This window comes from Homo sapiens, chromosome 20, assembly GCF_000001405.40.
Source record: "Homo sapiens chromosome 20, GRCh38.p14 Primary Assembly".
Taxonomy (NCBI): domain Eukaryota; kingdom Metazoa; phylum Chordata; class Mammalia; order Primates; family Hominidae; genus Homo; species Homo sapiens.
In genome coordinates, this window is record NC_000020.11 from 38140914 (window position 1) to 38156750 (window position 15837).

Here is a 15837-nt window from a genome sequence, read left to right on the forward strand (position 1 = left end):
TGTGTGTTTATATACATACATATATAAACACACACATATACACCCGCATACAAATACACGATTTGAAATCAGTGGAAGCTCGTGTGAATGTTAATGCTGCTTATTTTAGAGGGAGGAGACAAAGATGCTATTTGATTTTTTTCTTTGAGCTTCTCTGTATTTCCTGCTTTCCGCAATGCACGTGAATTATTTTTGAGATTTATCAAGAAGTGTGTTATTAAGATGTAAGTGAGGTCCCCCACCCTTCTGTGGACCCATCAGTGGTCTCCGGGTGAGCTCCTAGTTCTGCCGCCCTCCAGCTGAGTCACTTTAACTCTCCAAGCCTCGTCTTCCCCATCTGTTTGACGCGACAGTGCCCGCCCACGCACCTTCGCTCTTCTCCTGGGGCGTTGGGTCCAGGGCCTGCCAGCCCTCGTACCCCGGCTGCAGGTCCGGCCTGGTCATCCACGACTCCACCCAGCAGTGGAAGTTCCTGAGGGGGATAGGGGGGCGGGAATGAAGCAGAACATGAGCAACATTCATCGCCACCTCCCACGGGCAGACCATGCATTCATGTCCCCAGATGCAAGCTCGCCTCGTCCCAAACTGAGCCCAGGGTGTCTCCCCACTGCCTTGTTCTTCCCCCCACGGGGGCCCATCTCACAGCACCCTCTCTAGCCAAGGCGCCCACTCCTACACCTCAGAGCCCTTCTCAACTCCTCTCCCCTCCTTGCCCCTCTCAGTGGCCCCTTTGACCTCCTAATTTCTTGGCTCCATCCCTTCTTTTCTGTCCGTTCAGGGCTTATCACTCCCCACCTGGACCACGCCCCAGCCCCCCGCCCATCTCTTCCCCTCTAGCCCTCCTGGCAGTTGTCAGCCCCGCCCTCTCCCACTCTGAATCCTTGAGTGACAACCTATTGCTTTTGGAATCAAGCCTGGGCCCCCTAATGTGGCATTCCAGACTCCCGACAACATTTGCAGCATGATTCTTCCTGAGGCCCCATCATGTATGTGGTTGACTTTCCCTCTAGGCCTTCCCCAAGCCTGCTCAAATACTGCTGAACTTTTAAGGCCCAATTCAAATGTGACCTCCTCCAAGAAGCCCTCCAAGGTTTCCTCTCCATGGGGCCCTCCCTACTGGGCTCCGATCCCACCCTGGCCCCCACCTCACCAGATCATCTCGCTCTTGTCACCCTGGATCTCCCCAAACTCATTGCGGAAGTACTCGATGAGAAGGTTGCTGTTCTGGTCATGGGCCGAGTTGTAGTTGGTCACGACGCGGGTAGGGATGCCCAGGCACCTCAGCACTGTTGGAGAGGAGTGGAAAGCGGGGTGAGGTCCTGGAGACATCCGCCCTGCTCTGGGCCTCCACCTGCCCATCTGCATTCCAGGGAACACTGTACCTGCTGTCCAAGTGCTGAGAACATGAGCCAGCCCTTCCTGCCGGGACAATGGCGCCCACCTCTCTGGTCACCCCATGTCCATTCTATGCCCCTCACATCACAGTTGCCAGAAGGAGACTCTAAAATACAAACCCCGGCCAGGCGTGGTGGCTCACGCCTATAATCCCAGCACTTTGAGAGGCCGAGGGGGGCCTGAGGTCAAGAGTTTGAGACCAGCCTGGCCAATATGGTGAAACCCCGTCTCTACTAAAAATACAAAAATTAGCCAGGCATGGTGGTGCACGCCTGTAATCCCAGCTACTCAGGAGGAGGCTGAGGCAGGAGAATTGCTTGAACCTGGGAGGCGGAGGTTGTGGTGAGCCAAGATTGCACCACTGCACTCCAGCCTGGGCGACAGAGTGAGACTCCATCTCAAAATGAAATAAAGTACAAATCTGATGTCACCACTCCTGTGATCAATTGTCCTTGGTTCCCCATGGCCCTTGAGGTCAAGGCCAGTGCCCTGGCCATGGCCCTTGGCCCTGCAGGGTCTGGCCCCTGAACCCCTCCTCGCACGCTGTGCTCCTCCACACTGGCCTCCAGCATGCTCTGCCTCTGCCAGCTTCAAGGCATCGGTGTCTGCAATTCCCTCTGCCTGGAAGGCTGCCTGCCAGGTTCAGGTTGCCCCATCATTTGCATTCATAGCACGGCTGGAGATCCTTCATCCTTCCAGTGTACAGGCATGTGAGGGATTCTTTAATTAGTCCTCCAAGGCCAGTGAGGGATCTGTCTTATGTTAGATCCTGGAGCCCAGCACAGGCCTGTCATTGACTATTTTGTCAAATGGGATGAAGGAGTGGAGGAAGGAGAGAGGAGAGGAAAGAGGGAGGGAGGGAAGGAGTGATTGAATGACTGACTCTCCCCAAGATAGGGACTTAAAGACTCAAACAGCAGAACAGGCAGAGGAGGGCACAGAGGTCGGGAGACCCAGCTGCTTTCAGCTGTGTGACCTGGGACCAGTCCCTTCATGTCTCTGGGCCTTGGTTCCATCTCTTTGTGCATTAGTGATGCCACTGAGGACTCATCATCATTCCCAATGTACAAGAACACGGATGCACGTGGCCCTATAAATAGGTCGCAGCACAGATCAGGGTCCTCAGACTTGTCCGGAGGGAGGGCCCTGCATACCTGCCAACGCCCTGTTTGCTGGGAAAGGGGCTGATGTTGCAATGACAGGTTAAACAGCAACAGGACATTGACTGGCATCTGCAAGCTGAGCTCAGCTCAGAGAGGCGAGGAGCACAGGGGAGGGAGGAAAATCCCGGTGTGGATCTCACCCACACGGCCCACTGGGTGCTCCTGGCAGACGGAATTATGGGTGCTTTTACTCTCTCATTTTAAAAATGTGCTTTTTATGTGTATTGTAAAAGTAACAGATTCCCAGAAAAAAATATCTAAAAAATGAAGAGAAACAAGATTAGGCGTAATAAGGTAATCTGTGGGACTTTTGTTTTACTTTTAGTTTTGATTGAAGTTGAGTTTGGGAGTGGGGGAGAAGGGATGCGACCTTTGCCCTGGGGCCACCATCGATAGGCCAGGGTAAGAGCTTACTGGTTGGCCCTGGATTCCTGCCAGGAGATTTGTAGGAGCTTCGAGGAAGGAGGAAGGAACAGCTATGACCTCCCCCTCTTGCCTGGTTTCTGTCCCCCTGAGGCCTGGGCAGGGCTCAGCCCTAAGGCTGCCCTCAGTGAAGGCTGGTGTCCTAACCACAGGTCTTATCCCACCATGCAGTGGGCCTGAGGACAGACCGGAGGACGGGGGAGGTCTGTCTCTGCTTTCCAGGGAGCCAAGTGCCACTCTTGCCCCAGGGGTGGTGTCCCGGGAGGCCTCCTCATCAGTCTAACAGGAGGCTGCCCCAGCACCGTGCACACCTGGATCAGAGACTGACCCTGCTGCTCACCAGCTGTATGACCTTGGGCAAGCCACTCCCCTCTCTGAGCCTCCATTTCCTCCTCAGTAAGACAAGCTAATAATAGCAGCTTGTGGGGATTTGTGGTGATTCAGAGAGAGGCCGCGGGTGTGGGCACAGCCTTGTCTGCCCATTCCCAGAGCAAGCATTGAGGGGGTGCTCGGGAACAGCACAGTGTGTCATGGTGCCCGTTACGGCAAACGTCGTCCATCAGTGCTGGCTGATTCATGGACATTGAGGAAGTACAGTGAGGGATCCGGCTAAGAAAGCTGGAATGCCAGGCTCCCCTGGAAATCCCCAAACCCAAGCCTAACCGGAGCCAGAGACTGTGCTAAGTGATCTCTCCCTGGTATTAAGAGCTTCCTATGAATGAGATCAGTCACCATTGTCTCCATTTTATAGATGAGGAAATTGAGGCTTGGAGGCATCAATTCTCTTGCCCAAGTCCACCCAGGGGTTAGTGGCAGAGCTGGATTCAAACCCAGGCAGTCCAGCTCCAGAGTTCATGGGCCAATTCACCATTGGCTCCCCACGTGAACTCCACGGCCACAGTGGTCAGACAGCCCTTTTCTTGGCCAAGTTTTCCCTGGCTCCATCCTACACAGCCTGGGAAGAGGCTGCGGGGACCAGAACACAGCCCTGCAGTGGGCAGCTGAGGGGCAGGATCTGCTGCTCAATCTTCAGGCGGCCACAGCCCAGGGTGACCAGGATGACCAGGGTTTCTGCCGGTGAGCCTGGGGATCCAGGTCTTGGATTTCGGGGTTTTTCCAGGAAAACCCATGGGCTTCTTTGAAAAGAGGTGTTTTAGGGCTCTCAGAGGGAAGTGTCTGGCATGAAGGAGTTTCCACAAGAAAAAGGAATTCAGAGGTCACGGGGAACAGGCAGTCCCAGGCAGAGAGGCAGGAGTCAGAAGGCAAGGACAGCCGAGCTGAGAACCTAGGTTAGGCTGCCCTGACCCAGCCTGCTGGTGTGGAGGATGTGCTGGGGGCCCTGCCAGGCACCCTTTCCTGGGCCTTAGCACTGGTTTTGGAATCAGAAAAGCTGGAAGCCCCAGACCAGCCTTTTAGATTGAGCCTGGTAATAATAATAGTCGTGACAATAAATAGTATCATCACATAAGTATTTTCTATTATGCACCCAAAATCATTTTAAGCACTTCCCACATTCATTTATTTATTTAGAGATGAGGTCTCGCTCTGTCACCCAGGCTGGAGTACAGTGGTGCAATCATGACTCACCGCAGCCTCGACCTCCTGGGCTCAAGTGATCCCCCTGCCTCAGCCTCCCAAACAGCTAAGACTACAGGTGCACCACCACCACGCTCAGCTACCTCACACATATTAACTCATTTAATCCTCACAACCATCCCAGTATAAAGGTACTACCGTTGTGCCCATTTTACATACAATGGAACTGTGGTTCAGAGGAGTTAAGTGATTTACCTAAGGACACACAGCTGGTAAGAAGCAGAGCTAGGATTTGAACCCAGGCCTTGACTTCAGAATTTGTGCTCTCTCTCTTTTTTTTTTTTTTTTTTTTTTTTTGAGAGAGGATCTTGCTCCGTTGCCCAGGCTGGAGTGCAATGGTGCAATCATAGCTCATTGCAGCCAACCTCCAGGGGTCAAGCGATCTTCCTGCCTCAGCCTTCTGAGTAGCCAAGACTCCAGACACACAACCATGCCTGCTAATTTTTATTTTATTTTATTTTTTTGTAGAGACAAGGTCTCACTATATTGCCCAGGCTGGTCTCAAACTCCCGGCCTCAAGCAATCCTCATGTCTTGAGTCTACGTTCTTAGCCAGCATGTGATGCTAACCCATTCTCATAAGCACCATCATCAGCCTGGCAACAATCATCGACATTTTCTGGCCTTAAATTTTGAAGATTTTTGTTTTAGATTTATTTTACTTTTTTGGTTTTAAATTGCTCGATATTCCCCCTCTACATTTTAGAACATGCTTTCTTTCTTGACACTGATATTACTGTTAGGATCCAGTTATTACTGGCTAATATTTGCCGAGAGTGACACTGGGCTAGGTTCTGTGCTGAGTAGCTTCATGTCACACCCACTCTAGGAGGAAGGTCTTGATGTTGTCCCCATTTTCCAGACGAGGAAACTGAGGTTCAGAAAGAAGTCATTTGCTCAAGGTCACAGAGCAAGTGGTGGGAGGGAGGGGGTTTTTAACTCAAGTTAAAAATCCTGAGTTTTTGAGAACGTGGGCTCCAGTGCCCAAGTTCTCAGCCCTGAGCCCATGCAGTCTCTCCAATGATAGCCCTTGATCCTAACAACCACTGGAGGGATGGCTATTGGATAAAGGACCGGAGAGGGTGGTCACAGGCTCTAGGCCACATAGCGCATTGAGAGTGTTGGTGGCAGGGGGCAGGACCAGGGCAGGGATGTCCTGATTCCTACTCCAGTGCTCTTCGTGCCCCCTCCCAGGGCTCATGACCCACATCCCAGCGTGCAGCTCACCTGTGCAGGCCACGGCGGCGAAGACCCAGCACTGGCCATACTTGACGCGCTGGCAGCCGTGGTTCTTCCAGCGCCGCAGGATGTCCACGCTGCCGATCCAGGACATGGGGCTGACGCCGTCCCCGTAGTTGTTGTCCCAGCGTCCCAGCAGCACACCCTGGTCATCGTTGCAGTTGACCTGCAACCAGTGGGGCAGCACGGGGACTGAGCCTGGGATGGGGTGTCGGCTGTGCCGCCTGGGTGAGCCTGAGTACAGCAGGGGGTGAAAGCTGGGGAGGGGAGCTCCAGGGTGAGGAAAGAGCAGGTGCAAAGGGGCCATCGTGTGACAGACTGGTGTGCGGCAGATGGTGGGGGCTGGAGCCGGGGGACAGGAGGGAGATGGGGAAGAAGGAGGTGGGGCAGGGTCAAGGACTTGAACGCGATACTGGGGATGTGACTCTGTCCTATGAACACAGGATTGCTCGGGAGTGACATGGTGTGATCTAAGTTTTACAAAGACCCGCTTGGGCCCCCCACCCCAGATTGTGTCGTTCCCCCTAAACTCCCATTACCTCGAGAATAAAATCAGCCTCCTGACCATGATCCAAGAGGCCCTTCTGGTCTCACCCCTGCCCACCTCTGCAGCTTCCTCTGCACCCACGGGCCCTGCTCACTCCACTCCAGGCACACTGGCCTCTCTTCCTTCCTCAAACCTGCCAAAGTCGCTCCCTTCTCAGGGCCTTTGCACAGCTGTGCCCTCTGCCTGGAATGCCCTTCTCCTGGGTACCACCTTAGGGAGCCCCTCAGCCCCTCCCTGAGCCTGGCCCTGCAGTCCAACGCTCTCACACCTCGGGTTCCTTCAGAGCGTGCACCATCATTTATGAACCATGTGAACTGCCTGCTCGTTCATATGGTAGTTTGGTTAGTGTCTGTCTCCCCTCCCCTCCCCTCCCCTCTATAACACAGTCTCCATAAAGCTAGAGATCACACAGGACTTGCACACAGCTGTCTCCCCAGTGCTTAGGACATAAGTGGTACTTGATAAATATTTACTGAAGAAATGAATAAATTAATTGCTCTGGGGGACCCCATAGCATCACCCTCATCTGTGCAAATCTTATCTTTCCAATATAAGGTCTTTTCCCCAAGACTTACCCATCTCCCGGGTCCCCCACCGCGCCTAGCCTGTGTCTCCACTGCGAGGGAGAGGCCTGCGGGAGCCCCCTGTAGGCCCCGCCCCTGGATGGGCCATGCCACTCACTCACCATGCCACTCACCACCCGGCCCACGTAGACGGGGCTGCTGCGGCGGGAGCAGTCACGGCCGGCGTTCTTCAGGAACTTGGGGTTGACATCTAGAAGGATCAGGCAGATGTCTAGGATCCCATCTTCAAACTGTGTCAGAGGAAACAAGAGGAGAAAGAGGGAGCTGGGAAGGCACCTCCTCCAGGAAGCCTGCGTTGAAGCCTCCAGCAGCTGTTTCCCACTCTGTCCCACACAGCAGACTGGGACACTCCGGCCGAGTCTACCAAATCTCTCTGGTGGCAGCTTCTCTTGGCACAGGAGGGAATGGAGTGGGACAATGACTGGGTGAGCCATGAGTGTGTGACGAAGAGGGTAACAATTTTCATCCAGGGCCTGGTTGGGGGAACCTGGAAATCTGGAGCAGGAGCCCATGGAGTGGGCAGCCCGGTGTCCCTGGGGCTCCCCCTCAGAGTCACCTTGGGCCCTGTCACTGTCCCTTTCTCCTCTTGCTCAGCCAAATCTCCCACTTCCCCAAGGCGTGACCCACCCTGCAGAGCTGATGTCAGCCCCCTCGTCCCCCTCCAACCCAGCCCACACACGCTGCTCTGATGGGAACTGAGACAGATTCTAAATACAGAAATCCAGTCCCATCACTCTTCTGTTTCAACCGTATCCACAGTAAAACCTAGACTTCACCGTGCAAACTTCAAGGCCCTTCATGATCTGCTCCCATCCCCTTTTTGACCTCATCTCTCACCACTCACACCCACACTCACTCTGCCCAGGCTCACTGCCCCAGGGCCCTTGCATGTGCTATTTCTCTGCTCAGAATGCTCTTCCCGCTGCTCTCTGCAGGGCTCACACCTCCTCATCCTTGCCATTCAAATGTCATCTTTCTCAAAAGCAGGACCCCTTCTTGCCACCTTCCACTGGACCACCCACCTCCAGGGGCCCTTCTGTCTGCTCTTTTCCCCCCACTTCTGTGGTCCTTTCCTGGGCCAGATCTCCCTCCAAGCTGCACAACAGCCTTCCACGGTGTGAACCCTCTGTGGCTCCCTATTGCCATCGGCCTAATGTTCAGGGCTGTTCCACAAACTGGACACTGCTGGCTTCTCCCACCTCATCTCTTGGGGCTCCTTCACACACAAGGTATGCCCCAAGCTACAATATACCTCTCAGGCACGACATAAACTTTCCAACCTCTGAGCTTTCACTTGCATAGTTCCCTTGGCCTAGTATGTCGTGCACACACCTCCTTGCATGGCAAACTCCTATTTGTTCTTCAAAGCCCAGCTCAAATATTCCCTACTTCAAGAAGTACCCCCTGATCCCCATAGGCTGTTATTCCTTCCTTCCTCTAGGTCTCATCTTCCTGGACTGTGATCACCTCCAGAAGCTTTGCAAAGGCCATGTCCCACAGCCCAGCACAAGACCGGATACAAAACAAGACCCTGTGGGCCGGGCGCGGTGGCTCACGCCTGTAATCCCAGCACTTTGGGAGGCTGAGGCAGGCGGATCACGAGGTCAGGAGATCGAGACCATCCTGGTTAACACGGTGAAACCCCGTCTCTACTAAAAAAATACAAAAAATTAGCCGGGTGTGGTGGTGGGCGTCTGTAGTCCCAGCTACTCGGGAGGCTGAAGCAGGAGAATGGCGTGAACCCAGGAGGCAGATCTTGTAGTGAGCCGAGATTGCACCACTGCACTCCAGCCTGGGCAACAGAGCGAGACTCCGCCTCAAAAAAAAAAAAAAAAAAAAAAACAGGACCCTGGGAAATAAAGGAAGAACTTGACTTTGTTCTCCTTCTCAGGAGAGAATAAAAAGCCATGAAAAATCAGAGCCAATTCATTTTCTGATGTATTTTATGCATCACGGTCATACCACCATTTCATTTATATCCCACAGCAGGCTACGGGGTTGCTGAGCAGTTAGTTTTGCAATTATCATCATGATATTCAGATGAGAAAACTTTGGTCAAAGCCTGAGATCATACAGGGAAGATTTCCCTATGGTTTCAGGGTAGGACCCTCCCTAGAGGGTCATTGAACATTGAAACCTGACCCAGAGGCTGCTGGGGGAAGCCTCAGGGTGAACCCCACCCCAGGAGGCCAATACCTCCTAACACACCAGGAGGTTGAGGGGCCAGGGGTGCAATGGTTCTTGCTTTGTGAGTTTTCCCAGCAGAGTCTCAAGAATTTGTACAGGTGGCTGGATGATAAATGAAATTTATCATCACCAGTTTAGAGAACCAGCCCAGGCTGGCCCACTGGGGAGTGAGAAACCACGTGAAACAGATGAGCCATTGGCTGAGCCAGATGGTAGGAGCCTAAAGGTCAGGCTGGCTTTACTGACTCCAGCCAAGCCCAGCCTAGACAGCCATGCATGGCTGACCCACAGACTTGTGAGAAATAATAAGTGATTGTTGTTTTTAGCCCCTAAATTTCAGGCTTGTTATGCAGCAGCAGCTAGCAGATACAACCAGATCAGCAGTTCCCAAAGTATGGTTATTAGACAAGCAGCATCAGCATCACCTGGGAACTTGTTTGAAGAGCAAATTCTCAACCCCTAGTGTTTTAAGACTCTCAGTGATCCTGAGAACCACTGATCTGGGTGAGGGTTTAAAGCCTCTTCTTAGCACATGCCTAGCACACAGGGCTCACCCCAGCACAACTCCAAGTACTGCCTATTGTTTCAATACATGAGCTTTACTGTTCCCTCTTCCCCCTCCCAGGATACCAACCAGCTTCACAGTTCCCAAAGGCTCTCCTAGTTCTTTCTCCACCTTGAATCCAAGGCTGCCGCCTTTGCTGTGTGACCTCAGGGCAGCCTTGGCCCTCTCTGAACCTTCAGCTGTTTCAGGGCCTTTGCATCCCTGACAGCATGAAGTGGGTGACTCTGTGACTCACTCCCACCTGTGCAGCTTTGGCTGCCCCCAGACACAGGGCCGGGCACACAGAAGGGCCTGAGATGGTTGGGAGAGACAGGGTGTGGCCCTTACCTGCCCAAAATTCCAAGGTATGTTCTTGATGAACTTGGCCGAGCCCTGGTAGATAAAGCCCTGCTGGGTGAGGACATACTCCTGCCGCTCCTCTTCCGAGTCCAGGTACACAGCATCCGCTGCAGGCAGGAAGAAAGGGACCTCAGCTCTGGGTCTGCGGAGGCCCAGGGTCCCTGCAAATCTGGAGTCAAGGGTGCCAATTCCCTAGGCCAAGCCAGCGTCTCAGGGATCCATCCTTCTTTTAATTAGAAAAAGTAACCATTAATGAATAATCCCACGTCAATGAGATAAGGTGTTATCGGTTAGTGACAACAAAGGCTGCCATTTCTTCAACACTCACTGTGTGCCAGGACCTGTGATAAATGTATGACCTGTATTAATAAATTTAATCTCCAGAAGAGCCTTATGAGGAAGGGATCCTTGAAAGCCCCATTTTAAAGACCAGAAAACTAAGGCTCAGGAATATTTTATAGCTAGGAAAACTGAGACTAAGGACACAGGAGCACTGGACCGGGAGTCAGGAAACTCCTGATTCTCACTTGCTGTGTGACCCTGGGTAGGCTACTTTGCCTTCTCTGCCCACCTTAACACCTCACTGTGTCAGCCCAAAATGCAGATCTGAAAGGTGCTTTGGAAACGAAAGCCCTGAGGTAGCGTGAGGGAGGCGCATGATTCAAGGCAGAGAGAACTCAGTAGCAGAGGGGAAGGCCAAGAAAGGGTTCCTGCAGCTCAGGAGAGGTGGGGTCCTGTCCAGCTTGAGAGAGTTACAGAGGGCTCCCTGGAGGAGGTGGCATCTGAATGTTGTCTTAAAAAATGATTAAGTTTTAGAGAGTTGGAACCTGGAGGGTAGCATTCTAAGCAGAGGACCAGAAAGCACAAAGCTTTGGCTGCTGGAAAATGCAGGGCATTTAGTTGTCTGTGGCCAGTGAGGGGAGAAGAAGGAGCTGAGGAAGTTGGGGCAAGATGGTAGGAGCCCAAAGGTCAGGCTGGCTTTACTGACTCCACTTAACCGGTGAAGAAACTGAGGCCAAGAAGGGGCAATCTGGAGCCCCATTATGACTTTGGTGAGCCCCAGGCACTCTTGACTTCATGCATTCCTTCCTCCATTAGAAAAAAGGTAATTGAATGTTATGACTGCCTTGGTTAATTACAGCTATCTCAATATTACATATTAAAACCTATTGTTCAACTTAAATGTTCATTTTTTTCTCCTGATTTTAAATTACATTAAAACATGTTCACGGGCCCCTAAGAGTTTCTCAGGCCCCAGGCACAGTGCCTGCCGGGTCTAATGGAGAAGCTGGCCTGGGAAGGAAGCAGCTGCCGGCCCCTCAGACCCCTGGGCTTTGTCATGCCCGTCTGCAGCAACCAGCAGCCCTGACTTTCATCGTAGTGAGGAAAAATGGGAAAGAGGCCAAGTCTCTTGTGTATTCTGATCTTTGGCTCTGGAAACTTCTATAAAAATTAACCTTGAAGTCAATGAACTATAATGGCTCTGCAGCAGCCGGGGGGTGTGGGATAAGAATGAAAGAGAAAGAAGAACCCACAGTGTTTCAACATTAGAATGAGTGTCAGCACTTGTTGAATTGTCCCCACCCCAGCTCAGGATGCCAAGACTGTGACATCCCCAGCTCAGGTCCCCATCTGGTAAAGGTGGGGGCACTGGGGACGTGAAGCCTTGCATATAACTGGCACTCGATCATATTGGTCTTGGAACTGACATACAGGAGGGTCCCATTTTCCAGGCAGACCCGGCCCTTTCCCACCCATCAGACTGATTTCCTCCCGCAGCGCCCCTGCGCTCACCCCAGCCCAACTTCCTGCCTCTGCATCACCAGCTCCACAGTTCCCGCCCCGGGATGTGGGTCACTTTAGTCACTGTGCCGCTTGGCTGACCGCCACTCCAACCCGCCGCCGGGTGAGGCCAAGCAGGAGGAAGGGGGCCATCCCCCAGAACCACGCTTCCCATTCCCTGAACTCTGAAACCTTGTGGTGTGGACGAGGGTGGGGACACCGGCGTGTTCCTGTCCTGTTGGCAGAGCTGCCAACTAGTTGCTACCCTCTGCAGATTGACTAAAATTCAAAACAAACCTATGGGGCGGGGGGGGGGATCCAGTAAGGCCACTTCTGTCCCGAGAAATCATTCCATTGGCCACAGGGTATGAAGCAAGGGTGCTCGTTGACGCATGGTCCCTGCGTGCCATGAGCCTCCAGGCACAACCTCATGTCCATCAGTGGGGGCTGGACCATCCACATGGGCAAGAAACAGGACACTCAACGCCCTTAGAAAGAATGAGCAGATGTGGCCGGGCGTGGTGGCTCACGCCTGTAATCCTAGCACTTTGGGAGGCCGAGGTGGGCGGATCACCTGAGATCAGGAGTTTGAGACCAGCCTGGCCAACATGGTGAAACTCTGTCTCTACTAAAAATACAAAAATTAGCCCGGCGTGGTGGTGCATGCCTGTAATCCCAGGTACTCGGGAGGCTGAGGCATGAGAATCATTTCAACCCGGGAGGCAGAGGTTGGAGTGAGGCGAGATTGCACCACTGCACTCCAGCCTGGGTGACAGAGAGAGCCTTGGTCTCAAAAAAAAGAAAAAAAAAAAAAGAATGAATGAGCAGATGTATGCAGACCAATGTGGACAGAGCCTCACGGTGTATTGTGAGGGGAAAAAACCAAGTTGTAGGTTAATGTATACAGTGGGATCCTTTTATGTTTGTGATAGAGAGACAGAGACCTATAAAATACAGCAATTTCTCCAGGCACATACAGACTGACCTAAGGAGGTGAGCCCCCGCAAAATATCTAACAATGGTGTCCCCCAAGGAGGAGGGGTCAAAGGGGGAGGCCATTTCTCTGTAGTCTTGAAGCCCTCCCCTTCTCTCCCCTTTTTTGGAGACAGAGTCTTGCTCTGTCACCCAGGCTGGAGTGCAGTGGCACAATCCCAGCTAACTGCAGCCTCAACCTCCTGGACTCAAGCGATCCTCCCACCTTAACCTCCTGAGTAGTTGGGACTACAGATGTGTGTCATCACATCGGTCTAATTTTTGTATTTTTTATAGAGACGGTGGGTTTCGCCATGTTGGCCAGGCTGGTCTTGAACTCCTGCCTCAAGTGATCCCCCTGCCTCAGCCTCTCAAAGTGCCGGGATTACAGGTGTGGGATTACAGGTGTGGGATTACACTGCACCTGGGCTTGAAGCTTTTCTAAAGAGAATGCTGTCATGGTTTACTGTTATACTGGGAAATAAAAATCAAAATATGGAAAGGTGAAAAATTTTAAAAGCTTTCTGCTCAAATATAAAATGCCTCAAAATAGAGAAGAAAAAAGATAAAGCAGTGGGCCAGCAAGAAGGTGGTTGTCTAACAGCCAGGAGGCCAGAATTTCTGCCCTTTTGAAGAGGGACACCCGATTCCCAGGAGGGGCCTGGCCCATGATGCTTCTTTCCCTGCTTTGTTTCATTAGAATAGGAAGGAAACAGATCATTAGATCTGACTGCCTTGCTAGTTAGATGGGAAAATCGAGGCCTGGGGAGGTGACTGGCAACCCCTGCCTCCTCCCCCTTGCTCAAGTCAGTTTCCTTTGTTCCAAGCTCTCCCCTCTGACTTTCTAGTTTTGTCCAAGGTTGTCCACTTATTTATTCAAAGAGATTCCAAAGGCCACTTCACCACTCTGAGCCTCAGTTTCCTGTGTGTGAAGTGGGGAAGTGTCATCTCCCCCTTGGGATTGTTGAGAGGCCCGACTGAGATAGTGTATAAGGAGGCAGCTGGACGGTCTAACTGCTCCTACTCACCCCCCTCCCCCAGCCCTCCCCCCAACCTCACCTCCGGGTTTCCCTTCCCCAAACCAGTCTGGGTGAGATTTAAAACAGGGCCTCCCACCTCAGCCGGGCACGGTGGCTCACGCCTGTAATCCCAGCACTTTGGCAGGCCGAGGCGGGTGGATCACCTGAGGACGGTAGCTCGGGACCAGCCTGGCCAATGTGGTGAAACTCCGTTTCTACTAAAAATACAAAAATTAGCCAGGCGTGGTGGCACATGCCTGTAATCCCAGCTACTGGGGAGGCTGAGGCAGGAGGATTGCTTGAACCTGGTGGGCAGAGGTTGCAGTGAGCTGAGATTGTACCATTGCACTCCAGCCCAGGCAACAAGAGCAAAACTCCGTCTCAAAAACAAAACAAAACAAAACAAAAAACACACAAAAAACAGGGCCCCATGAAACAGAACCAGGACACAGTGCCTGGGCCTAGGCATCAGCTGGGCACCCTATTCCTGATGTGGGGCTTTTGAAACCAAGTCACCGCTAAGCCCCAGTTCATAGTGGTCTGGGAATATACAGGCCTCAAACAGCGAGTGAAGTCCCTTGGTAAATATGTGGAATTGGGCATATCATTCTGCTTCTTTTTATTTTTATTTTTTTAGAGACAGGGTCTCACCCTGATAACCAGCCTGGAGTGCAGTGGTATAATCATAGCTCACTGCAGCCTCGACTTCCTGGACACAAGTGATCCTCCCACCTCAACCTCCCAATTAGCTGGGACCACAGGCGTGCACTACCACACCCAGCTACTGTTAAAATTTTTTTTTGTAGAGACAGGGTCTTGCTCTGTTGCCCAGGCTGGTCTTTAACTCCTGGCTCGCTCAAGTGATTCTCCCTCCTCAGCCTCCCAAAGAACCGAGATTACAGGCATGGATCACTGAGCCCGGCCTCATTTTGTTTCTATAAACAGGGATAACAGGAGTACTCATGTCTTGAGGGTTTTGTGAGGCTGGAGCACAGTGGGCCTCACTCAGTCCACTTTGATGTGTGTCTCTTATCCCCTGTTCTTCTCACCTCCAGTAGCCTCCTCCATGGGCGGATCCAGCCCTGCCCACCCCAACGCTGTGAGTGGATGGCGTGTGGCTCACCTGGGCACCAGGCGTTGAAGAGCAAAATGAAGTGGCCCAGCACAAAGCTGGATCCCTGGTAGCCAGTGGAGGCCTCCAGGCTGAGGCGATACAGGCCGATGGGGGCGTTGGCCGGGGTGGTGAGCTGCAGCGAGAGGGTGCAGTCTTGCTGGTCCACCACGGTGGCTGTCCAGTCACCCTCCTCCACAGCATCTCTTAGTGGAAAACGGGCCTTGGTCCCGGCCTCCTGGCTAGGGGCTGGGCCTGTGGAGGGAGAAGCAGTAGCCGTGAGCTAGGGGTAGCAGGGCTGGCAGGGCAGGGCACCTACGTGGGGTCCCCCAGCTTGGGCTCCAGGCCTAGTTCTGCCACTAACCACTGAAATAAGTTTGGCAAGAAGTTTGTCTCCCTGAGCCTCAGTTTCCTCATCTGTAAAGGGGGGCTCAGAACCCCAGCCTTTTAGGGTGGTTTTGTGGGAATGCATAAAAAGCCACAGGCATACAGCATGTCCTCAACTAAAGAGTCCTCCTGAGAGAGGGGCCATGTGGCCCAGAGCCAAGGCTCAGTTCCACTGCTCTGCAATGATGTGACTCGGGACAAGCCCATCCCTCTCTCTGGGATCACCTGGCCCCATTTGTGTAGCATAGACAAGGATTAGGCAACATGCCCTAGGGCCCTCCTTTCCTGCCTACATCCTCTACCTGCTAGCGTCCCGCTTTTTCTCTCAGAGAAGGAAGCCCAGACGCTGAGCAGGAAGGGACCTCGGTCCTCTGAGAGCCCCTTGCTGTAGGCCAGCGGAGGATGCTGGCTGGCCCACACAGCCTCAAGGTGTCTGTCTCCCCAGGCCCCCCATCTGCTGTCCCCCACATCTCCATAGGCAGTTCCGAGATGCTGGTCATAACGACCCCTCACCTTCCTACAGCCTTTT

General features: G+C 52.9%; 1 protein-coding gene across 7 annotated transcripts in view, besides 2 other annotated features; it reads right to left on the reverse strand.

The window, feature by feature from the left end:
- Window positions 1-15837, reverse strand: part of TGM2 (transglutaminase 2) — a 41091-nt gene that overhangs the window by 13529 nt on the left and 11725 nt on the right. For 6 of the 7 annotated variants that reach the window (XM_047440443.1, NM_001323316.2, XM_011529028.2 and 3 more), the window contains 6 exons: window positions 14934-15176; window positions 10026-10144; window positions 7048-7176; window positions 5804-5981; window positions 1151-1286; window positions 369-472 (listed from right to left, as the gene is read on the reverse strand). In XM_047440443.1, coding sequence (XP_047296399.1) covers window positions 369-472; window positions 1151-1286; window positions 5804-5981; window positions 7048-7176; window positions 10026-10144; window positions 14934-15176 — 909 coding nt within the window. The remainder of the gene's footprint in view (window positions 1-368; window positions 473-1150; window positions 1287-5803; window positions 5982-7047; window positions 7177-10025; window positions 10145-14933; window positions 15177-15837) is intronic. The other variant, NM_001323317.2, reaches the window with a different exon arrangement.
- Window positions 1322-1991: an enhancer, noted in NCBI's record as "H3K4me1 hESC enhancer chr20:36770637-36771306 (GRCh37/hg19 assembly coordinates)". NCBI's record gives its function as "activates a minimal SCP1, AML or CMV promoter by ChIP-STARR-seq in naive H9 embryonic stem cells {active_cell/tissue: H9 hESC(naive)}" and the evidence as "EXISTENCE:reporter gene assay evidence [ECO:0000049][PMID:30033119]".
- Window positions 1992-2660: an enhancer, noted in NCBI's record as "H3K4me1 hESC enhancer chr20:36771307-36771975 (GRCh37/hg19 assembly coordinates)". NCBI's record gives its function as "activates a minimal SCP1, AML or CMV promoter by ChIP-STARR-seq in naive H9 embryonic stem cells {active_cell/tissue: H9 hESC(naive)}" and the evidence as "EXISTENCE:reporter gene assay evidence [ECO:0000049][PMID:30033119]".